This window comes from Homo sapiens, chromosome 13 (assembly GCF_000001405.40).
Source record: "Homo sapiens chromosome 13, GRCh38.p14 Primary Assembly".
Classification (NCBI taxonomy): domain Eukaryota; kingdom Metazoa; phylum Chordata; class Mammalia; order Primates; family Hominidae; genus Homo; species Homo sapiens.
The window spans coordinates 112,575,763-112,600,091 of NC_000013.11; the positions used below are offsets into that span (position 1 = coordinate 112,575,763).

At 42.6% G+C, this 24,329-nt stretch overlaps 1 protein-coding gene and 1 long non-coding RNA gene across 13 annotated transcripts in view, besides 5 other annotated features; one reads left to right on the top strand and one right to left on the bottom strand.

The window, feature by feature from the left end:
* The window catches only part of TUBGCP3 (tubulin gamma complex component 3), a 120,620-nt gene that overhangs the window by 90,752 nt on the left and 5,539 nt on the right, over positions 1 to 24,329 (bottom strand). For 9 of the 12 annotated variants that reach the window (XR_007063655.1, NM_001286277.2, XM_011537462.3 and 6 more), the window contains exon 1: positions 12,143 to 12,391. The exons of 1 other annotated variant lie outside the window; for it this stretch is intronic. Coding sequence is in view for 8 of the 11 variants with exons in the window: in NM_001286277.2 (NP_001273206.1) it covers positions 12,143 to 12,218 (76 nt within the window). In the remaining 3 variants the exon portion in view is untranslated. Of the gene's footprint in view, positions 1 to 8,276; positions 8,400 to 11,467; positions 11,660 to 12,142; positions 12,392 to 24,329 lie in introns of those variants that run through there. 2 more of the 12 variants (XM_047430039.1, XM_047430038.1) reach the window with 2 other exon arrangements.
* Positions 3,649 to 4,202: an enhancer, noted in NCBI's record as "H3K4me1 hESC enhancer chr13:113233725-113234278 (GRCh37/hg19 assembly coordinates)". NCBI's record gives its function as "activates a minimal SCP1, AML or CMV promoter by ChIP-STARR-seq in naive H9 embryonic stem cells {active_cell/tissue: H9 hESC(naive)}" and the evidence as "EXISTENCE:reporter gene assay evidence [ECO:0000049][PMID:30033119]".
* Positions 11,862 to 11,981: a silencer, noted in NCBI's record as "silent region_5529". NCBI's record gives its function as "represses an Ori minimal core promoter by ATAC-STARR-seq in GM12878 lymphoblastoid cells {active_cell/tissue: GM12878}" and the evidence as "EXISTENCE:reporter gene assay evidence [ECO:0000049][PMID:35858748]".
* Positions 12,012 to 12,071: a silencer, noted in NCBI's record as "silent region_5530". NCBI's record gives its function as "represses an Ori minimal core promoter by ATAC-STARR-seq in GM12878 lymphoblastoid cells {active_cell/tissue: GM12878}" and the evidence as "EXISTENCE:reporter gene assay evidence [ECO:0000049][PMID:35858748]".
* Positions 12,102 to 12,321: a silencer, noted in NCBI's record as "silent region_5531". NCBI's record gives its function as "represses an Ori minimal core promoter by ATAC-STARR-seq in GM12878 lymphoblastoid cells {active_cell/tissue: GM12878}" and the evidence as "EXISTENCE:reporter gene assay evidence [ECO:0000049][PMID:35858748]".
* Positions 12,387 to 13,206: an enhancer, noted in NCBI's record as "H3K27ac-H3K4me1 hESC enhancer chr13:113242463-113243282 (GRCh37/hg19 assembly coordinates)". NCBI's record gives its function as "activates a minimal SCP1, AML or CMV promoter by ChIP-STARR-seq in naive H9 embryonic stem cells {active_cell/tissue: H9 hESC(naive)}" and the evidence as "EXISTENCE:reporter gene assay evidence [ECO:0000049][PMID:30033119]".
* Positions 12,424 to 22,909, top strand: LOC124903251 (uncharacterized). The gene is made up of 2 exons (XR_007063945.1): positions 12,424 to 13,654; positions 14,252 to 22,909. It is a non-coding gene; the product is annotated as an uncharacterized LOC124903251 (long non-coding RNA).

The following is a 24,329-nucleotide window of genomic DNA, read 5'->3' on the forward strand; positions in this document are numbered from 1 at the left end:
AATTAAACTAGTAATCCTTAACAGAATGGTATCTGAAAAATCTCCAAACATCTGGCAGTCAGTCAACACACACATGGGCCAAGGAGCCAATGAGCCAAGGAGCACCACAGTCACTGGAGCTGGAAAAGGCGACGCAGCACCCCCCAGAGCCTCCAGGGGTAGCCCAGCCCTGCAACCTGCAGTCAGCCCCAGGACACTGCCTTTGGCTCTGGTCTCCAGAAACACAGGGGAATAAACGAACTAATTTGTAATAATTTGTTACAGCAGTCATAGGAAAATTACGTACGTGCCTTTCATTACTTAAATTAAACCTTATTTAAAAGGTTGTTTTATATCACTATATTACATCTTCACAGTAACAACTACAAGACTTAAAAATTCATGGAATGAACGTAATTCTGAACAGCTAAAAAATTTAACAGAAGCAAGGCTGAGCTGTCAAAAGAAAGGTCAGAACAGGCCTCAAATTGGAAAAACTGCTACTCCTTTCTCTTTCTCTATAAAGGTCCTAGAAATCTCTCGGGGAAAAGCCTCAAACTACAGTAAATGCACTTTCAAGGGGTTGCAGTAGAAGAAAGCAATGCAACTTCTTACTCCAAGAGCAAGCACTTCAAACTTGCAGTCATGGGTGAATGAGTTCTGGAGACCTAACACACAGCATGGGGACGGTAGTTAATGACAATAGATTGTGTACTTGAAATCTGCTGAGAGTAAATCACAGGTTTTCTCACCACACACACAAACACACACAAAAAAACGGGTACTGAGGTGAGCTGACGAACATATTGATTAGCTTCACTGTGGTAATCATTTCACAATCCATACATACATCAAAGCATCACATTGCATACCTTAAATATATATTTTGGATTTATCAATTATACCTCAACAAAGCTGAAAAAAATACATGGGCAATAAAAACTGTCAAAGAAAATCAGAAAATGAATTGAATGAAAATAAAAACACAACATATCAAAATATGTGAGATGTGGCTAAAACAGTCCTTAGAGGAAAATTTATAGCATAAAATGCTTTCTTTAAAAAGGAAGATAGACCTCAAATCAATAATCTCAGTTTATATGATAAAATCTGGAAAAAGAACAAACAAAACTCAAAGTACACATTAGGAAATGGTAAAACAAACAAACAAAAAAAAAAAAACCCCAGCAGTCAATGAAATTTACAACAAAAAATGGTGGGGTGGAGGGAAAAAAAAAATTCTTAAAAAAAAAAAAGAAAAAAAAATCACAGAATTGATAAACCTTTGCCAGACTGACCAAGAAAAACAAGACAAGACACAGAATCAGGAAGGGATACTGCCACTGATCTTATAAAAATTTAAAAGATAATAAGGGCTAAGTAATTTATGTAGACACTTCACTCTCAAGGAGGTAGCTAAAACAACTCCATATCATAAGTGTGGGCTGGGCACACTTTCTTCCAAAGAGCACAATACAGGCAGAAAAAAAGAGTCACTCACAGCAGAGAAACCTGGCACACACACCTTAGCCAAGCGATCAAGGTCACTTTCAAGAATGATGAATCACCCTGGTGGCAGGTATCCTCCATATGATGTGATGAAAATGTCACTTCACCCTGGGGGTCTTCCTCCCAAAAATATGTAGCCCCAGTCTAGTCATGATAAAAATATCAGACTCAGTTGAGACAGTCTACTAATAACCTTTAATCCTCAAAATTCTCAAGATCATGAAAAAAAAAGTCCGAGAAATTGTCAATGTCAAGAGAAGCCCAAAGAGACAAGACAAATGAATGTAACATTCCTAGAGGGAGCCTAGAGACAGCAAAAGGCCACCGAGTGCTAAGTGAGGAAATCTAAATAACTATGGAGCTTGATTAATACTAGTGTATCATTATTAATTAATTAATTCTAACAAGTGTACCACGGTTATGTAAGACAAAATGGTACTGGGCTTACAGGAACTCTATATTTGCAATTTTTCTGTAAGTCTATCATCATTCTAAAATAAAACATTTTTTTAAAATATATTAATGCCAAGACTCACTTTTCACAAATTCTGATTTTATCAGTCTGGAGTGGGGAGCCATGGCATCAATATTTTTTAAAGCTCCGTTTTCAAACTTTTAGTCTTCAAGATAAGAAAGCAACTAAAATGTGAGGGGGGAAAAAGCTTTCTTTGGTAAACTCAAAAATGAATTTCAACCTATATCACATGCCACATATGAAAATTTGTTGGGAAAAGCTGAGTGTTGGGAGAAGCTGAGGCAGGGCTTGCATGTCTGACTAACGTAAAAGAGTCTTGGAACATGTCCGGGGTCCAGGGTCTAAAATCCCTTGAGGCCTTTGGAACGCCAATCTGTGCTAAAGGGCGGAAGGCTACCCTGACGCACCATAATCTCAGCCCAGGGCATAAAACCCCTCGTGGCTTGGATGGAATCCAGGACTCGTGGCTCTGGAATGTGTCTAGACTTGCTGGCTCCTTGCTCCTTGCTCTCCCAGGATCGATTGTATCTTGAGTTAAAAGAACCTGCTCTCGGCCGGGCGCGGTGGCTCACGCCTGTAATCCCAGCACTTTGGGAGGCCGAGGCGGGCGGATCACGAGGTCAGGAGATCGAGACCATCCTGGCTAACACGGTGAAACCCCGTCTCTACTAAAAATACAAAAAATTAGCCGGGCGTGGTGGTGGGCGCCTGTAATCCCAGCTACTCGGGAGGCTGAGGCAGGAGAATGGCATGAACCCAAGAGGCGGAGCTTGCAGTGAGCCGGGATAGCGCCACTGCAGTCCAGCTTGGGCGAAAGAGTGAGACTCCGTCTCAAAAAAAAAAAAAAAAAAAAAAAAAAAAGAACCTGCTCTCCATTATCTCAAGTAGCAGAGCAGATGCTAAATCATCACACCTGTAAATCATGTGCTTAATGCAACGCGACCTTTCGACCCCCACATTCTCACCACCTGTTTCTTTGTTTGATCACCAATAAATAGTCTGGGCTTCCAGAGCTCAGGGCCTTCACAGCCTCCATACTTAGCGATGGCCCCCTGGACCCACTTTCGCTCTCAAACTGTCTTTTCTCATTCCTTCGACTCCACCAGACTTCGTCACCCCCACGACCTGGTGTTGGGTCTGATCACCCCAGCAAAAATTAAATAGAAGAGTAAAACATAAGCCCCTCTTAGAAATAAAACAAAACAAAGAAATCTTTGCAACTTTGAGTTTGGCAGAGTTCCTACATGACACCAAAATGATGACCCATTTTTTTAGAAATTCATACATTGGCCTTCATCAAGATTAAAAACTTTTGCTCTGCAAAAGACACTGTTAAGAGAATGAAAATACTGAGAAAAAATATGTGCAAAACACAAAGACATAAGCAAAAGTTTTGAACAGATAATTCACCAAGAAGACATATGAATGGCAAACACACACACACACACAAAGATGTTCAACATCACTAGGAAAATTAAAATTAAAACCACACTGAGATATCACAACACACTTGCTAGAATAGCTAAGATTAAAAACCACTAACACTGCTGAGTGCAGGTGGGGCCACGGCATCCCTGGAGCTCTCCCACACTGCTGAGTGACAGTGGGGCCACGGCATCCCTGGAGCTCTCCCACACTGCTGAATGCCCGCGGGGCCACGGCATCCCTGGGGCTCTCGCACACTGCTGAGTGCCAGCGGGGCCACGGCATCCCTGCAGCTCTCCCACACTGCTGAGTGCCCGCGGGGCCACGGCATCCCCGGAGCTCTCGCACACTGCTGAGTGTCAGGGGGCCACGGCATCCCTGGAGCTCTCCCACACTGCTGAGTGCCGGGGGGCCACGGCATCCCTGGAGCTCTCCCACACTGCTGTGTGCGGGTGGAGCCATGGCATCCCTGGAGCTCTCCCACACTGCTGAGTGGGGGTGGAGCCATGGCATCCCTGGAGCTCTCCCACACTGCTGTGTGCGGGTGGAGCCATGGCATCCCTGGAGCTCTCCCACACTGCTGGTGCAGCGGCAAAGCAGCCACAGCCATACTGGAAAAGAGTCTGGCAACTTCTGAAAACAATGAGCATGCACCTGCCCTGAGGCCCAACAACCCCACTTGCAGGTGTTTATTCTAGAAAACTAACTTAAGTTCACATAAAAAACCTGTCCATGAATGTTCATAGCAGCATTATCCATAACTGCCAAAAACGGAAGCACTCCAAATGTCCCTCAGTGGTAAAATGGATAAACTGGTTCATCATACAATGGAACACTACTCTGCAATGAAAAGGTGAACTATTGATATGGCACTGTAAATGCATCTCAAACGCGTTATACTAAGTGAAAGAAACAAGTCTCAAAACTTTTGACTGAACACTGTATGACTGCATTTACGTGAAATTCTAGAAGCGGAGACATACACAGACACAGGATGGTGGCGGCCAGCACAAAGGCAAAATGGTAGCACAGAGGAAATCACTGTGAACCTAAACACTGAGAATTTTTTTAAATGGGCTAAATAGCAGAATGGAGATACTAAAGGACAATTTAAATGCAAGCTAGAAAATCAAACACAACAAAAGAACAGTTAGAAATTATGAAGAAAAAATAGTAAAATTTTTCTATCATTAAAAAAAAGTCAGCCCTGCGTGGTGGCTCACACCTGTAATTGCAACACTTTCAGGGGCTGAGGTGGATCACTTGAGCCCAGGAGTTTGCGACCAGCCTGGACAATACAGCAAGATCCTTCTCAAAAAAAAAATTCTAAGTCTGTCACTAGCTTTGAAAAAAATAATAAATTTTAAAAAAAGGAAAAGTCCTCAGATTGAAGGATCATCAAGTGTTAATCCAGGTAAATTTTTAAGTTCCACACCTAGACACATTATTGCAAAATTTCAGAACATGCAGGATTTTTTAAAATTCTAAAAGCTACCAGACACATCTTCAAAGGAGTAAGAAATGGATTAACATCAGACTTCTCATCAATAATGAAAGAATACCTTCAAAGTGGGCAGAGGAAAAACACTTCAGACCAGAATATCTATATCTGACTGATGATCCAAGAGTTCAGGAATAGAAGCGTAAGAGAAATAAAGACATTTTCAGACTATTAAGTAATTATTTAGATCAGCAAATCCTGTTGATTCTATTTCTAAAAGCATATCCCAAATATGATCACTCCACAGCTACCATCCCATTACAGGAAGTCTCCTGAGGAGCTGCTCACTTGCTTCCACCTTTGCCCCCTTAGAGTGAATTATCCACCCAGCAGTCAAAGTGATCCTCTTAAAATATAAATATTATCATCACTCTGCTCACACACCCATCACACTCACAACAGAACCCAACCTCCTGGCCCCAGCCCAGGGAGCCGGCCCCTTGCTCCCCACATTGCACTCCTGCTATTCCTGGAACACACCAAGCTCACCTCCAGCTCGGCACCCAGCTCTCTCTTCTCCACATCCTCTAAGGACTCACACCCCCCCATCTTTCTGTCCCTATTCTAGCTAAAGCAGACACAAGCGCACTGTGTCAGCAAGGATCCAGTGAATGCCTGCATAGTGGGGAAAGGAACAAAATGAAATCTAAAATGTTTTGTGGGGTCACAGGGTCGGGGTAGTTTTTTTCTCCTTATATTTTTCCACTTTCTGAATTTTTACACTGCGTATATATTAATTTTACAAATATTAAAAGTATCATTGAAAAGTTTCCTTTAAAAGTTGTGTCACTATTTAAGAATTTTTTTTTTCCCAGACAAGGTCTCACTCTGTCGCCCAGGCTGGAGTGCAGTGGTAAGATCTCGGCTCCCTGCAACCTCTGCCTCCTGGGCTCAAGTGATTCCCCCACCTCAGCCTCCCAAGTAGCTGGGACTACAGGTATGTGTCACCACATCCAGCTAATTTTTATATTTTCTGTACAGACAGGGTCTTACCATGTTGCCCAGGCTGGTCTCGAACTCCTGGGATCAAGCAATCCTCCCGCCTTGGCCTCCCAAAGTGCTGGGATTACAGGTGTGAGCCACCGTACCCAGCCAGTAAAAATTATTTTTAGGTTACCATTTTCACACTCAAGTACATCACATAAATATCCCCAATCCAAATGTTTTATATACTTTTCAACTTTCTCATACCAAAAAGTTAGGAACTCTTCAATGCCAGAAACACTCTCCTCTTCACCTCCTCACTTTCTCTGCACCTCAGATGGATGTCATCATTTCACCCCCACTTACCTCTTCAGCCACACCTGAGTCTCCCTGTCCTCTTACCAACCAAATTTCCAGTTTATCCTTCTTGCTGATTATAAAATATTTTTAAAAATCCAACTGTTACCTCTTAAACCAAATCTACTTAATCTGTGCTTCAGAGGGAAAAGCACAGAATCCAGACTACTAAAGAAATTAGACATAGCAATCATTCCTTGTTTAGTGAACCTGCAATCAAAGAATAAGCTGGGAAAAAATCAAGCAATGTCCACTACACGCTTCTGGTTTAAATACTCCCAAAATACTGTTCAGTGTTTAAAGTATAACTAAACTCAATCAGTAATTCAATGAATAACTCCTAAATACTTACTACAGGCCAAACACGTCAGGCCCTAACAATATGATGTACAGTGGTTAATGAGACAGACGTAGAACATAACAAATGTGGCACATAAGTACCCAAGGCAGACTGTGATAAGAGCGTCAAAGAAAATGAGGGCACTATGACAGCTCATGACCAGGAGGACCTCGTGAAGTAGATGCTGAGGGAAGGCCTTGCAGGAAACACCGTTAGCCTGGCAGCCAAGGCTGCCACGTGAGGAGCCCAGGGACCAGAGAGGGGAACCCACAGGGAAGGGCGGCACTGGACACTGCTGCTGCAGGGAGGCCGTGCCACAGGGCTCTAAATGCCACTCAGTCAGTCACTCCATCGAGAGCCCCAGGTGACAAGGTCCAGATGTAGATCTCTGATGATTCTGCTTAATGCAAGAGTGAAAAATAGAGTACTCCATTTTTTTGGCCACAAATCACCTAAGGAGAGGTCTAGTTCTCCCACCTCTAATCTGCTCTGGGTGTGTGAGGGGTGGGCAGTTCTCAGGTTCCTGGAAGGGGAGTGAACACTCCTCTGATGATCCTCTGAAATTATTTCAATGAATGCAAGGGCACACTGCCTGACCAGAGAGCAGTGCTGCTGAGTTGTACACTCTAAACACAAGAGCGGATAGAGGTGAGAAGCCATCCCACAAGCTGGGCCATGACTTATTGTCTCTATCGAGCACACAGAGAAATTCGCCATCAAATTCAACACTTAAAAGCCGGGGTGAATTAATTCAAAATATCAAGCTGTAGAATCAGAACTTGGGTTCCAACCTTGGCCCCGCAATTTACTAGCTCGATGATAGTGAGCAAACTACTTAATCTCTCAAAGTCTCAGTTTTCTCATCTAGAAAATGAGGTTCACCATAATTCTACCACAGTATAAGCACAACATCCAGCATATTTTAAGTTTTATATAAATGTTAGCTATTCGTATTGTTATTAACCTGAAAATATTAAATACATACTATATCTGCTACAGCCATTAGAATCACAACTCAAAAAATGCACCCAATTTTTAACCTTGAGCAAGATAATTTGGTCTTCATCTTGAAGACTACAAATAGAGAACAAATTAAGCCTTCAACAGATTCGATGAGATTGGTTTTCTAGAAAGGACCCTCTGACTGAAGAGGAGAAGAGGAACTAGAGGAGATACAAAGCCAAGGCAAGACCCTCAGCTGGAATTGCGTTCAGTCCCAAATGTGAAGGCTCCAGAGACACCTGGATGTGGGCCCAAGAGCTTTTAAACAAAAAAGTTGCCCTTTGTATCCCCAAAAGATTCTATATACACTCAGGTTAAAGATGACAACTGAACTTCAAGATGCACAAAAATAAATTCGACTCAAGTGAATACAGAAACTCCACAGTTGTGTGTTTCTCAAGATTCAAAAAACAACTGCGGAAAAGTTGAACTGTTTGGGGAGACCCAAGTTTCTGCCTTCCTGTTTCTTGTCGACAGCGTGGACTATATGTTCCACACTTCTGCTTTTCTGAAGGATGGGGGAGGGGTCAGGAGGGCGTTGGGAGTAAGCCACAGTGCTTAGTAGAGGAACAGAGCACATACACTAGCCACCCTTGACTCCAGATGCAAGTCAGAGTAACTTATCACGCATTTTAATGTTTCGGATGCCAAGCTCCAACAGACACCTACAGGATCAGAAGCCCTAGAGATGAAGCCCACAATATTAATTCTGAGTAAGTCCCACATTTAGAGAGTTTAAAATGAAAAGGCATGAAGTTAGATACCATAAAAAGTCCTGTTCTCAACCACTGGCCACCAGCTCCCCTTCCCACAGGCAATCAACGTTATCAGGTTCTTGTGAAATCACAGGCGATTCCAATGCATGGCTCTAGTTGAAAAGCAATGCTCTAAAACAACAAAAACATTACTCTAGATGCGTGGTTCTCAAACTCTTTGGTCTCAGGGCTTCTTTACACTATTACGATTGAGAACTCCAAAAAGCTTTTGTTTATGTAGGTTATATCTATCCACAGTTACCATATTAGAAATTTAAGCCAAAACAATTTTTAAATTTTAACTTATTGAAAAATAGTAAATCCATCAAGTACAACTTGAAACAAAGCCTGAAACTCTGAAGTTTTAATACACATCTAATGTATATCTTAATATACATGTAATACACATTGATCTTCCCAAGAATGTAATTATATAACCAAAGGAAGATCACATGGTATTTGGAACTTCATCAAAAGCTCTTTACCATTTTGGAAAATCATGAAACCAATAGCAACACCACTTGTGGTACTGAATCACCAAAACAATAATCCTTTATCTTCTGATAGTGGCTTGTAGGACACTCATAGAGGTCTTGCATATTATGGCAATCATCTTCGAATATGCTGTGTACTGTAGTCATACCTGAACATTTATGATGAAATACTTATCTAATATAAATTCCTCTTTATGTATTCTTTACCTCATAGTTAGAAAAAGGATTACAAAGTAGCTATGAAAAGAAGTGTTACCTCTGACAGATTTGAACATTAACATCAAGCACACTGTTTCCAATGATAAGAATAATTACGCAAAGACATAATAAATAAATGTGCTCCCAGGAGGGGCAGGGATATGGAGACAGGATTTGACTATGACTGGCTGGCAGTATGTGTTTCAAGCAAATTCACAGATGTTATAAGTTGGAAAAGGTGGTAAATCATGGTCATGCTAACTTTGTAAAACTGTCAAGCACCATTATATGTAGGTGCTTTGCTTCTGAAGGTCCCTTGAAGTCAACTGTATAATTTTTTAAAAGATACCTTATAAAAATGTGATTCATATGAAATTCTCATTAAAAGTAACAAGTACCTATTATGCCTTGATTTCATAGTACTAAAAAAAATGTATTACAAAAGCATAAGGCCAATTGTAATATGTCATCAAAGAATAAGGTAATTAATCAAATATTCTATGGAGTTACCAGATAAAATGCTCACTAATCAAATTTTTAACACCAAATATTGTAAAGGTAGTAATTAATATTGCTCCTTTGCTCACTAAGGTATAACAAATGAAAGAACAAGGTAAGCTACTATTTATAAATTCTTCAGTAAATAGCAGCATAATTTAAAATTATATCATAAATGCTTGACAATCCTAGCTATCTAGAACATAGCAAAAAGAGCATCACCTTTAATGGACTTCATGACATAATTTATTCAGAGAGGGCCGGGCGCAGTGGCTCGTGCCTGTAATCCCAGCACTTTGGGAGGCCAAGCGGCAGGGGGGTGGGGTGCAGATCACTTGAGGTCAGGAGTTGGAGACCAGCCTGGCCACATGGTGAAACCCCATCTCTACTAAAAACACAAAAATTAGCCAGGAGTGCTGGCATACACCTGTAATCCCAACTACTTGGGGGGCTGATGCAGGAGAATCACTTGAAGGAGGCAGAGGTTGCAGTGAGCCCAGATCATGCCACTGCACTCCAGCCTAGGTGACAGAGCAAGACTCCATCTCAAATAAATAAATAAATAAATTATTTATTCAGAGAGGACCCTGTCAGGATCTGAGAGCCCACTTTTAGACACAGTTCTAAATGGGAAGATAGTAGGATACAGAATTTTGCTGAAAAGAAGCTTTTCAGTCTCTTAGAAGGGACAAAACTTTTATATCAAAGAATCTTCAATGTAAAAAAAAAAAAGTTTTTGGCTGGGCGCGGTGGCTCACACCTCTAATCCCAGCACTTCGGGAGGCCGAGGCGGGTGCATCACGAGGTCAGGAGATCGAAACCATCCTGGCTAACACAGTGAAACCCCGTCTCTACTAAAAATACAAAAAATGAGCCAGGCGTGGTGGCGGGCGCCTGTAGTCCCAGCTACTCGGGAGGCTGAGGCAGGAGAATGGCATGAACCCGGAAGGTAGAGCTTGGCAGTGAGCCGAGATCACACCACTGCACTCCAGCCTGGGCGACCAGAGTGAGACTCTGTCTCAAAAAAAAAAAAAAGTTCTTAGGTTGAGAAATATCATTCTAGCTCATGATGAATGAATTTCAAAATCCAATTATAACAATGGGAATGTATGAATGTGTGGTTTATCCCTAGAAAAAAAAACTCTGGAACCACTGGTATAAGGAAAACACTGACATTAAGGTGGGTAAGTCCTAACAATCTTAGTTTTATCTGATTCCCCCTATGACGAGGAACATGAAACATGTGAAAGGAAACTCAGTCTGCTAATGACAAAAACAAACGATGGCAGGCCATGCTCATACCTCAAGACCTTTCCACTGGTTCTCTCTACTCAGAACCTTCCCCAGATGTTCAAATGGCCCTCCCTTACTCCATTCAGGTCTCTTTAAATATCTCAGAGGCTTTCCCTCACCTGCCTCTTCCCTCTCTATTCCTTTACCCTACTTTTTCGCCACAGTACTTATTGCTAATTAACATGGCTGGTTTATCATCTGTCTCTTCCAGTAGAGTGTCTGTCAGATCTGTGGGAGGAATGACTTGTGCATCTGCATCACCAGCACTTAGCACAGTTCCCGGGGGGAACTTTGAGGACGGGGTTGTCCTCAAAGATTTCTTAGATAAATAAAGTGATAGAATCAAACTTTACAAGATGCAGCAAGAACTGTGTGAAGTCACTCATTTAATAGCGACACAAAATTATTCATGATTGCCCCAAGATTATCATAGAACATCCAATGAATTATGTACAGTAATTGTCATGAAGCATGAAAGGTCAAAATGCATTCTCAGTACTTTAAATGTAACTTTGAAGTCTTCCTTCAAAAATTGAGTAACTTCTTTTCCACATTTTGGTGCTTAAGATGTAACTCAGTTGCTTCCATTACTCAGAAAATTCCCTCATGGTGCATCCTCACTCTCTGCCCCACCAACCTGGCCAAAACAAGGAGCAAGAAATGGCATCCTGTACCATTTCTTTCAAAGTACCTCGACTACAAAATGGTTTTACCTACCGTATAGGATTAGTTTTGCTTATTAGTAACAATATTCGCCATGTGAACTTTCCCAGAATAGTTTTATATCAAATCCAACCTTCAACCCTTTAAACAGTAGGAAAACACGGCAGTTACAGTCGTTAACACCCTCTTCCCATAATACTCAAGCCTGTTAAACTTTCCTAACGAAAAGGGACGATGATGTGACACTCCAGCACCCCGCATCCACCTCCGCGGCGCAGCCGCTCTCTCCACCCCACAGGATGAACCCAAAGGCGCGCAGAGGCGCCCTCCCACGGCGCGTGACACCAGAGAAGGGGGATAAATTGGCGAGCTGGCATTCCTCCCGTCCTCACTGACGGACCCGCGAGCGGAGTGAGCGGTGACTCAGCCCGCTCCGGCTCGGCTCCGCCCTCCCGCCTCCCGCCCCGGCGTTCTCGCCCCGGCCTTGGCCTCTCCACTCCCTCCGCCCCGGTCCTGGCCCCCAGCCCTCCGCTGTCCTCCCCGGCTCCCTGACCCTCGAACCCCAGCCCTCCGCTCCCTCGTCCGGGCCCCACGTCCTCGGCCCGTCCCCCAGCCCTCTGCCCGGCCCTGCATCCTCGTTCCTCCAGCCCCGGAACGTATTAGGGCTGCACGCGCAGGGAGCAGCCCCCGGGACGGGTCTGCGGGCTTCGCGTCGCCCGGCCACTCTACCTTCGCTCCTGCCCAGGATCCTGCAGCACAGGTTCTGCAGCAGAACGTTCGGCGACTTCTGGTCCGGGGTCGCCATCCTCGCCCGGAGCCGTGCACGGTGGTCCGGGCAGAGCCGCCACTGCCGCCGCACGCGCAGGGACCGCGGCCCGCGCCCTTCCTGCGCCCCGCAAGCTCCCTGCTCCTGACAGGCTAAGGCGCGGGCGCCGCCGGCCACCAGGGCGCCATTTTAACGGAACCCGCCGAAAGCGCGGGCGCTTCCCACAATGCCCCGCTTCTTCCCTGCGCCGCGGCCGCGCGTGCGGCTGCCTAAGCGTTCCCGGCCCTGTCTGGTGCATTCCCCCTGCTGCTGCCCGGTCGGCCGAGAAAGTTCCGGGCGACAGGTGGCCCGAGGCCCTCGAGCTGCGCGGACAGAGCGGCCCCGGAGTCGCGAGCGTGACGGGCTTGCTTGGAGGGCACTTGGTGGCCGGTAGCACCATAAAGGCCATAATTTGGTGTGTGGGTGTGGGGGTGTGTGTGTTAACGGCATTGGTTTGATTCACACTTCTGATGAAAGAAGCCTGTTTAAAAAAGAAAAGAAAAAAGAAGCCTGTTTAAAGGGTGCAGGGTGTTACGATTGTTAACGTGCAGTGGGCAGTTCACCTGCTACGCTATCCAACAGGCGCCCTGCTCAGGCCCGACCTCGCACTGCCGCGCGGGCCGGTCCCCCCCGGCCCGGGTAACTGGGACGTCCTGGGAAAATAAATTAATCACGTACGGAGTGAGAGAACAGGAAACCTGCCGAGAAAAAGATCGATAAGCAGACAATTACACCAAGCCAACTTCAGTGCAATCGTTAAAGCTTACACATGGGTGCACGCTTGGGAGCCGTGAGCTACCATGTTAAAAGGCCAACTTCCTAAGGAAAAATGATGGAAAGAGATCCCGAGATCCTATGAAATGGAAGAGGGAGGACAACCCAGCTATCCCAACATCCCAGCTGAGGCCAGCCACACACGTGACTGTCTGCAAAGCCCGTCGGGCCTGGGTCCAGCTCAGGTTGCAGAATTGTTGGCAAGTAAAACGTTTGTTGTCGTTCTGACTCAAAAACATGGAGACAAAGCAGACTTGTAGGGTATTACAGTCAACAACTAGACCCTACAGCTAAAGGACTGTCTCCTTGCATGATGCAACAACCATCACAGCTCTGCAAGAGCAACCAAACCACCAAGGATGCGATCACCCCTCACTGCCTTCGATACGCATTCTGTGGAAACGCTTCTAAACTTGCATCACACTCAACACGATCAGTTAGTAACTGGCTTCTCATGAAGTTATTCTCTCAGCCGCATACTACAATGTCCAGATGTCATCTAAATCCTGCCACCCTCTCCCCCACCTTCAGCTGAAACGCTGCATGACTGCATCATCTTACCTGACCAGCTCTCTCCTAGGACAGACATGCAAGAACCCCCCTCACTAACGCTGATGTTATTTGGTTTACAGATGGCTCTTACTTAAAGATGCAGCTGGAAGGTATTACACTGGTTATGCCATAGCGTCTTTGCCCAAAGAAATAGAAAGTGCTTGTCTTCCAGGAGCAATCATCTCAACAAGCAAAGTTAATAGCATTAATTAGAGCCTGTCAGTTGGCAAAAGGAATAACTGCTAATCTTTATACCAATAGCAGGTATGCTTATAGAGTAGCTCATAACTTTGGAATGCTATGGAGACAAAGGATTTTTAACCTTTTCTAGTCAGCCCACAAAAAAATGGGTGCCTTGTTTCAGAATTATGGCAAGCCATACTATTGCCAAAATCATTAGCCATTATCAAGATTCCAGGCCATTCAAAGACACTCAAAAAAGCAAGATAAGCCAGTTAGCAGGTAGTATAGCAAACAGGGTGGCCATAAACATATCTGAACAAAAAGATCAAACCATTTTGGCCTTTAAGGAAGTTAGATTTTTATGTAAAATTAGCTCAATCTAAATCTCCAAAAACAGGACGAGAAAATTGGGAAACAAAAGTGGCACATGCGCTTCTGAGACTGATGTACGGTTTGACCAAATGTTCTACTCATACTTCCAACTAAGTTACAACCATCTTTCTTTTTTTTTTTTTCTTTTTCAGATGGAGTCTCGCTCTGTTGCCCAGGCTGGAGTGCAATGGCGTGAACTCCACCTCCTGGGTTCACGCAATTCTCCTGCCTCAGCCTCTTGACTAGCTGGGACTACAGGCACCCGCCACCATGCCGGGCTAATTTTTTGTATTTTTAGTAGAGACGGGGTTACACTCTGTTAGCCAGAATGGTCTCGATCTCCTGACCTCGTGATGTGCCCGCCTCGGCCTCCCAAAGTGCTGGGATTACAGGCGTGAGCCACCGCGCCCGGTCCAGCCATCTTTCTTAACGTGCATACACGATGTGACTCACTGGAGCCCTGATAAGATTATTGATTTCTTGAGGAGAACAATGTTGTCGGAAACCTTCTCCAACTGTTGCTCACGGGTATACAGTCAGGGCTGTCTTCCCAGAATATAATGCAAGGAAACCTTGACCCAGTTCTCCATGTCATTTTCCTTTACCAGAAGGCCCTTTCGAGGTATGGCAACTAGATTTTTTCAGCTACCACCATCACAAAGATACAGGCACATCCTAGTGATGGTTTGTGTATTTTCTCATGGGTAGAAGCATTTCCATGCAGAAGAGCAGCAGCCTTGGCGGTAAGTAAAATTATCTTAGAGAAAATTATTCCGATTTGGGGAGTTCCTCAAGAACTTTATAGCAACAGAGGCACTCATTTCACTGCACAAATAATCCAGTTAGTATGCAAAATCTGGCCCATTTTCCAGCATTTCCATTGTGCCTATCACCCCAGTCATCTGGGTTAGTAGAATGCACAAGCAGAATAATCAAAACTCATTTGGCAAAATTAACTGAAGTTTTAAAACTCCCTTGACTGGAAGCTCTTTCTTGTTTTTGCTTCACCTAAGATCAGCCCTTATGGGTAAACACCAACTGTCTTCATCTGAAATTATAACGGACAGACCTATGAAATTGTCTCCAGGAAATTGTAAATCGATGATATTAAAAAGGGACAGGTTGTATTATTGCAGCAGCCTCATAAGGCACCTAAGTAAAAACTGTTATTTAGTAAAAGATTCTTTCCACAGTGAGCTCCAAGAAGCAAAAACTCAAGGAACACATACTTCAGCCAGGAGACTTTGTAGGAAACAGCATCCTTTAAAGGACTTTCTCCACCAAGGAGGAAGGAACCTTATCAGGGACTCCTAACCAACCCTTGTGCCACTAAGCTTAAAGGAGTTGATTCCTGGATACCTGCCACCCATGCAAGGAAAGCTGCTTTGTCAATTTGGACTTCATCTCAAATTGGTGATCTAAAACTAAAACTCTCCAGAACCAACAAGGATGAGAAGAAAACAACATGTGAGGCGATCAGCCTTCTCAAGACACCTGACCAGGCCTGTATCTAGACAAACCCTTAATATAATCATCGTCAGTAGATGAGGAAGGTCTTCCTTTACAAGTTCCCACCACACTTCCTTCTTTTTGTCCCTAGTTCTTCTGTTTTGTTGCTACCATCACCAGCCATTGCCCATGAAACAAACATCTTCTTGCAGTAGGCTTGGGCCTGTGCTAGTAAATTACAGGACAACACTCGTTAGGTGTGTGGCCTTGCGCCCCTTTCTGGTGGTTCTGGCCTACCATGGTGGCAGCTCCTCTTCAAGGACAAGAGTAGACAGAATATCAGAAATGTGTCTGTGTTTCTCAGGACAGTCATTGGTGCTTAGCACTAGTATGATGAAGGCAAGTGTGCATCACTGGCCTATGAATGATACTTTACAAAGCAAAAGCCATAGGAAGAGCTTTCCAGTAAAAGTCCACATACCTTAATGCTGGTACTACACCAGCTGAGAGATTAGACCACTCAATATCGGGATGGCATAACACAAACTTGGGATGGTTTCACCTGACTTACCCTCTCTTTGGGTCAACTTAGTTCACGTGCCCCTTTACATTGGGAACAAAAGAATCATATCAAAGATCCCTGGCCCAGGAGCACTGGAGATACGGGATGGAACCCAGAGAACAGTGCATCTACACCATTGTGTTACAGAGTCCTGGCTGGCATGCCACTGAGTGGGCATAGTGACCGGGTGTTTACTGGTTGGCTCCAGATGGAACATCTGGACTCTGTGATAATGACCTATGGCCATGGTTACCCCCAAGGTGGCCAGGACACCATTCTCTGCATTATGCCTGGACATAGGATGGAATAGTTCACAACCGACATAGATAGTAGATAAAACTAGGTAGTCTGAATAATTCAAAGTATGGACTTTGATTCATAATGCTTCAATACTGGTTCTTAAATGTAACAAACAACACACTTTTAATCTGTGCATTGTGAGGTGCTGAGCGAGAGGGGCCGGCTGCCAGGTGCCGGGTGGTGGGTGGGTCAAAGGCCAAACGCAGGTTCCACCAGGCAGGTGTCACTCCCGGCAGGAGTAGAAACCAGAGGCCTCACTGAGAGTGCCAGCCCCCACCCTGGTGTTTCATTTTCCCCCACGGCACTGGGTGAAGGTTAGGTGTGTCTGTGAAGACAGCAGTGAAGGGATACTGTCTCACTGCCCAGAGAGCCCCTAACAAAAGGTTTCTGCCATTCTATGGCCCTGGAGTCAGGGGAAGAGAGAGAGGGAGGCAGCTGAGAGTGGAAAAGTGCTGAATGCAAAGTCAGAGTGGGAAAAATGTCTTCCAGGCCCCCTGAAAAGGAGGCTTTGGCAGAGGTACCTAAGACAGGCCTCAGCCAAGGGACCCATGTGGTCTCGGAAGGGAGGTGCCTGGGTTGGGCACAGGGGATACCCAGGGCACCCAGGTCCTTCCCCGCAACAGCCTTCAGACACGGCAGTGCACTGGCCACACACCATGAGGCAGCCAGGTGGGGCCTTTGTCATCACCCGTGGTCAGACCTGAAAGATCCCACAGGGCATTTGGGCTGCAGCCAGCCAACTTTCCAGGCAGCATGTTGCATTCCAACTCTGTTTCAATAAAACTAGTTTCGAAAAAGAAAGAAACATTTCAAAATATTGACGGGATGCTGCTAAGTTTTGATCGTTGCATTAGAAAGAAAGAGATTAAAGGAATAGTTTAAGCTTCCGCACCAGGAATCTAGAAAAGGAAAACCAAATCAAGCTCAAACTAAGTAGAAGGAAGGGGAGTGAGATCAGAATGGATGCTGGGCGCGGTAGCTCACACCTGTAATCCCAGCACTTTGGGAGGCCAAAGTGGGTGGATCACCTGAGGTCAGGAGTTTGTAACAAGGCTGGCCAACATGGTAAAACCCCATCTCTACAAAAATACAAAAATTAGCTGGGCGTAGTTGTACGCACCTGTAATCCCAGCTGCTCAGGTGGCTGAGGCAAGAGAATCACTTGAACCCAGGAAGCAGAGGTTGCAGTGAGCCACGATGACACCACTGCTCTCCAGCCTGGGGGACAGAGAGAGAGACTTTATCTAAATTCCAAAACTTTGGGAGGCCAAGGGCAGATCACCTGAGGTCAGGAGTTTGAGACCAGCCTATCCAACATGGTGAAACTCCATCTCTACTAAAAACACAAAAATTAGCCAGGCATGCTGCCGCGTGCCTGCAATCCCAGCTACTCGGGAAGCTGAGACAGAAGAATCCTTTGAAACTAGTAGGCGGAGATTGCAGTGAGCTGACACCATGCCACTGCACTCCAGCCTGGGTGACAGAGCAAGACTCCATCTCAAAAAAAAGAAAAAAAAAGATCCGAATGGCAAACAGTGACCTAGAAAACAGTAAGACAAATACGGAAAACAGAAGAAACTAAAAGAAGTTGATTCTAGGAAAACAAACTGATCAGATTTGCTAGACTGGACAAGCCAAAAGGAAAAGAAAAAAACAGAAATATGCCAAATCAGGAATAAAAGAAATAACATACAAGGGTCCATGGTGAAACTAAAAATATCACAAAGAAATTTTAAAATGTTTAAAAAAATAGATAATTTAGATAAAATGGACAAATTCCTAAAGAGACATAAATTATGAGCACTGACCAACAATGAATAGAAAATTTGAACAGATGTATAAGTAACCAAGTTGAATTATAGTTAACTACATGCCCACAAAGAAAAGATCTGAGCCAAATGGCTTCATTGGTGAATTTTCTCAAATGCTTAAGAAACAAATGATATCAATCTTACAGGAAATAGAGACAAAATAACACTTCCCAAATATTTTACAAGGCCAGTATTAACCTGATACCAAAGCCAGGCAAACACATCATAAGAAAACTATAAAATGAGAAAGGTACAACTTTTTAACAAAGTGATTGCAGATTAAATCCAGCAACATGACCAAGTGGGGTTTATCTGAGGAATGCAAGGTTGGGCTAACATCTGAAAGCCAATTAATGTCATAACTCCTCAATAGAATAAAAGAAAAAATCCATATGACCTTCTAATAGCCACAGAAAAAGCATTTGACAAAACCAACCCTTTCATAATAAAAACTCCCAACCTAAGACTACAAAGAAACTTTCACAACCTGATAAAGGTCATCTATAAAATAAACCTGCAGCTATCTAAGTTTCAGAGAATCATCTTTTTGTCTTATTTGTTTCCTCTGTTATGTCTCTGCTTTTATTTCATTAATCTCTTCATTATCTCCTTCATTCTGTTTGCTTTGGGTTTATTTGCTCTTCTATTTCTAGATTCTTGAGGTGAACACTTAGGTTATTGTTTGAGACTTTTCCTCTTTTCTAATGTAAACATTTAGTGCTATAAATTTCTGTCTAAGCACTGCTTTGCTGAGCTTTTGAATTTTGATATGTTGTATTTTCATGTTTATTCTGTTGAGTGTACTTTTACGTATTTCTCTTGATCCTTATTCTTTGACCCATGGATAATGAAAAGTGTGTTATTTCTTTTTCATGTGTTTGGAGATTTTCCTGTTATTTTGTTGTTGATTTCTAGTGGGGGTAAGAGAAGACAGACTAAGATTTTAATTCTTTTAAATATGTTGAGGTTTGTTTGATAGTCAGAAGTGGTATATCTTTTTATATGTTTTGTGGGCACCTGAAAAGAATATATATTCTGCTGTTGTTGATCGCCATGTTCTCCAAATACCCATTAGATCCAGTTGATTGTTCATAAGTTGTTCTCTGTCCTTGTGAATTTTCTGTTTAGTTGTTCTATCAATTGGCGGGAAAGGAGAGTAGGGTCTCTAACAATAATTGTGGATTGCTGTTTCTCTTTTGAGCTCTATCAATTAATACATTTTTTTTTTTTTGAGACAGAGTCTCGCTCTGTCACCCAGGCTGGAGTGCAGTGGTGCAATCTCAGCTCACTGCAAGCTCCACCTCCCGGGTTCACACCATTCTCCTGCCTCAGCCTCCCCAGTAGCTGGGACTACAGGCACCCGCCACCACACCCAGCTAATTTTTTTGTATTGTTAGTAGAGACGGGGTTTCACCATGTTAGCCAGGATGGTCTTGATCTCCTGACCTCGTGATCCACCCGTCTCGGCCTCCCAAAGTGCTGGGATTACAGGCATGAGCCACCCTGCCCAGCCAATTAATACATTTTGCAGCTCTGTCGTTTAGTGTATATATGTTTAAAATTGCTATGCCATCTTAGCAAATTGACCTTTATCTCATTATATAATTGTCTTGGCTCTGAAGTCTACTTTATCTGATATTAATAGGACTGCCTCTTTTGATTGTTTGCATGGTATATATATTTTTCTATTTTTTTCCCCTTTCATTCTACTATGCGATTGTGATTGAAGGATAGACAGCATATAGTTGGGCCATTTTTTTTAATGCTGCCTTCTAATCTCTATCTTCTAGTTGGTATATTTAGACCATTTACATTTGATGTAATTTGATATGTAAGGCTTGAGTCTGCTATTATATTTTTTGTTTTCTATTCATTCTCTGTTTTCCATTTCTCTCTTTTTTGTGCTTTCCTGTGAATTATTTGAACAATTTTTTTTAGAATTCCAGTTTGATTTGTCCATAATGTTTCCCAGTGCATCTTTTTTGAGGAGTTTCTTTAGGTGCTACTTTACATGTACATAACTTATTTCTGTCTACTGCTGTTGATATTTTATGGTGTGAATGAACGCAATCTCCTTTTATGTCCCTTTACATTCCCCTGTTTATGGTATAAATATTTCCTCTACAAACATTGAGAACCACGCTAAATGGTGGTACTGTCTGTGCCTCATATATAATTTAGAAAACTCAAGAGTAGAAGAGAGCCTATTGTAGTTATTCATATTTTCATTCTTTTCATTGTACTTTCTTCCTGATGTTTCGTGATTCTGTCTTTTTCATTTCCTATTTCAAGAACTACCCATTCTTTTGGGATAGGTATGATGGCAGCAAATTCTTTTTGTTTTCCTCCATGTGAAATATCTTGACTCTCCTTTCATTCCTGAAGACTATTTTCACAAGATATAGAATTCTGAGTTAACACTTGATAAATGTTGTGCCACTTCCTTCTGGCCTTTGTGGTTTGTAGTGAGAACTTTTCTTTCATTCAAATAGTTTTCCCCTGATGCTAGGATGTTATTTCTCTCTGGCTGTTTTCAATATTTTTTTTTCTTTGTCTTCAGTTTTTCGGAGTTTGACTATGAAATGTCTTGACATGGTTTCCTTGAGTTTGTTCAGCTTCTTGAATCTATAGGTTTATGTCTTTTGCCAAATTTGGGGATTTTTCAGACATTATTCCTTGACAACTTTTTAGTCCTATGCACATTCTGCTCTCCTTCTAGAACCCTGGTGATGTGGATGTTAATTATTTTGTTATAGTCCCATGGGTCTCTGAGGCTTTCTTCATTTTTAAAAAATATATTTTCTCTTTGTTGTTCAGATTGAATGACTTCTATTATTCTAACATTTCCAGACTTCTATTTTGGGTAATGAAAGACTAGTTAATTCAGACCAATCCTCCCATTTCAAACACATGAAACTAGTGGATACAATATAAAAACCATATGTTCAAAGGTACTGGAACATAACGCAGTGAAAAAACCTGGGAACCAAGATTTGGGAGAATAAGAACATATAGAAGGATGACCTTGGCATTTGAAATGCTTTTCCCCCATGGATTTCCTCCAATTTCCAGAAGAAATGGCTGGGATACTGACAAGCTGAAACTTACTTTAAACTTACTTCTGATCTTACAAAAACAAAAATTGGAGTTTATGGCATGATAAGGAAGAGAGTGGTGGCTGGTCTGTCAGCCTGACTAATGGGCTCTTAAGGTTGCTTAGGGATCTGGGTTGGGAACTGATGGTAAAATTGCAGAATACAGACTAAGCTGTAAATAGATTGTCCTCTTTAGGGATTTGTGCTCAGCTTTAAATTATCTTAACTTATGATTGGATTAAGATGGTGTGCAGGATTGCTAGTGCCCCTAGTACTTGCAAGAATCAAACATAAATCCCCATTAGAGAAATAAAACTTCATTCTAGCCTCAAAGTACCTCTATAAGCTTTCACATAGTGTCTCAGTCACACAATACAATTTAACCAGTCAGGTGAGGAGACAACGAGTGTTTTGGAAAACCAAGAGAAACAACAGAAAACTAGAAAGAGATTTACAGGTGTTACAGACAATGCACTATGAATAAGATGCTCAAGGGAAATCAAAGAAAAGATTGGGAATGTTTGGCAAAGAATTTAGAGAACAACAACAAAAAAAAGCCAGTAGGAACTCTAGAACTAAAAAACATTAACTGAAATTAAAAATCAACGTGTGACCTTAACAGCAGTTTAGATACAACTAAAAAAAAAAATGGTGGTGACATGAAGAAAACAGACACATGAAAACATGCTGAGAAAAGGATTTAAAATATGAGAAAGAATATGAAATACATAGGGGACAGAGTGAAAAAGCATAACATTCATATAATTGGAATCCAGAAGGAGGGGAGAGAGAAAATGTGTCAGAGACAATAACTGAAGAGAACATGGCCAGTGACACTCCCAATATGGCAAAAGACATCAAGGCAATGATAAAAGTGCCACAAACCACAGCCACACTTGCCTAAGGAAAGCCATGCCGAGGCAAATGTAAGCAAAATCCTCGGAGAGCAAAAACAGAGACAGTCTTAATAGCCAGAGGAAAAAAGAGGTTATCGTCAAAGGCGCACCAATTAACCTGATAGTTGATATTTCAGCAGAAAGAAAACATAGAGGCCAGATGAAGATGGAATTATATTTCCAAGTGCAGAAAGAAAACAACTGCCAATCTAGAATTCTATACTCAGCCTAAATATATTTTACAAAGAAAGAGAAACAAAGGCTTTTTTAGAAGAACGGAAATGAAAAAGATTTACCACCAGCAGATTTATAGTAAATGAAACACTAAAGACCATTTCCTTCAGGCAGAAGAAAAATGATACTAGATGAAGGCTAGCACTGTAGGCAGGAACACACAACAGTGGATGCCATGAATACAGGATAAATATGAATGGATATTGATTAGAAAAAACAATGTCTTAGGTTTAACATATGCAAACTTAAATACATAACAAAAATAACTCACCAATAAAGAAGACGGTAAATATTATTAAAGTGCTCTGTTACCTTTGAAATGTCCTAAAAGAGGTAAAAGTACCATTTATATTAAACTTTGATATGTCAAGGATATTTGTTGTAGTTTCTAGGGAAACCATTAAGTGAAGAGTGAAAATACTGATAACTACCAAACTAATAAAGAGTAAATTATCGCCGGGTACGGTGGCTCATGCCTGTAATCCGAGCACTTTGGGAGGCTGAGGTGGGCGGATCGTGAGGTCAGGAGATGGAGACCATCCTGGCTAACATGGTGAAACCCTGTCTCTACTAAAAATACAAAAAATTAGCCGGGCATCGTGGCGCACGCCTGTATAGTCCCAGCTACTCAGGAGGCTGAGGCAGGAGAATCGCTTGAACCTGGAAGTTGGAGGTTGCAGTGAGCCAAAATCGCACCACTGCACTCTAGCCTGGGTGACAGAGCGAGACTCCGTCTCAAAAAAAAAAAAAAAAAGTAAATTATTAGACAATAAAAGGTTTCTATAAATACAAAAAAAAAAGAAAGAAAAATGAACATACTGCAAGAGGGATAAAAGAATATAAAGATGGCAGAGTTAAACCAAAATATCTCACAAGTTACATCAAATATAAAAGCACTAAATCCACAGAGGTAAAGTACAGTTCTGATCGCGTATTATCACGGGTGCATACTGTCAACACGACTTGTCACTGTTGGTGGTAATAACTTTGATCACCTGACTTGGGGTGCTGTTTGTCAGGTAAAGTTATTCTATGAGGTTATTCTTTTTCTTTTTCTTTCCATACTGTAGTCTTTGGAAACAAGTCATTACGCAGCACACACCTAATAAATGGGTCCTTACGCTCCACTTCCCTACGGATAGAATCTCCACATAAATTATTTACCATTGTTCTGACTGAGAGAGTTGTCTATTCTCCCTCATTTATTTATTTATTCAATAGTTTATTTATATTGGTATTTATGGGCATTTAGTTTATATTTTGAGTTATAATCTAAAACTACTTTGCTATGGTTTTTTGTTTTTTGTTTTTTCTTATAGACGGAGTCTCACTCTGTTGCCCAGGCTGGAGTGCAGTGGCGTGGTCTCGGCTCACTGTAACCTCCGCCTCCCAGGTTCAAGAGATTCTCCTACCTCAGCCTCCTGAGTACCTGGGACTACAGGCGCATGCCACCAGGCCCGCCAAGTTATTTTTATTTTTTATTTTTTTTTTTAGTAGAGACGGGGATTCGCTGTGTTGGCCAGGCTGGTCTCAAACTCCTGACCTCGTGATCCGCCTGCCTTGGCCTCCCAAAGTGCTGGGATTACAGGCATGAGCCACTGCGCCCAGCCTACACCTTATGTTTTATACCATTTTAGATTTTATACCATTTTTATACCATTTTAGATTTACAGAAAAATTGAGAAGATAGTACAGACTGTCACACGCCTCTCCCCATCTCCCCACCCCCTGCAGCTTTCTCCTATAATTAGCATCTTGCATTAGTGCACAGTGAATGGACCAATATTAAAACATGATTATTAACTGAGGTCCACAGTTTGCATTAGTCCATGCTAAGACTACGAATCCCACACTTGTGCACCCACTGTGTCATCTCTTCTCCA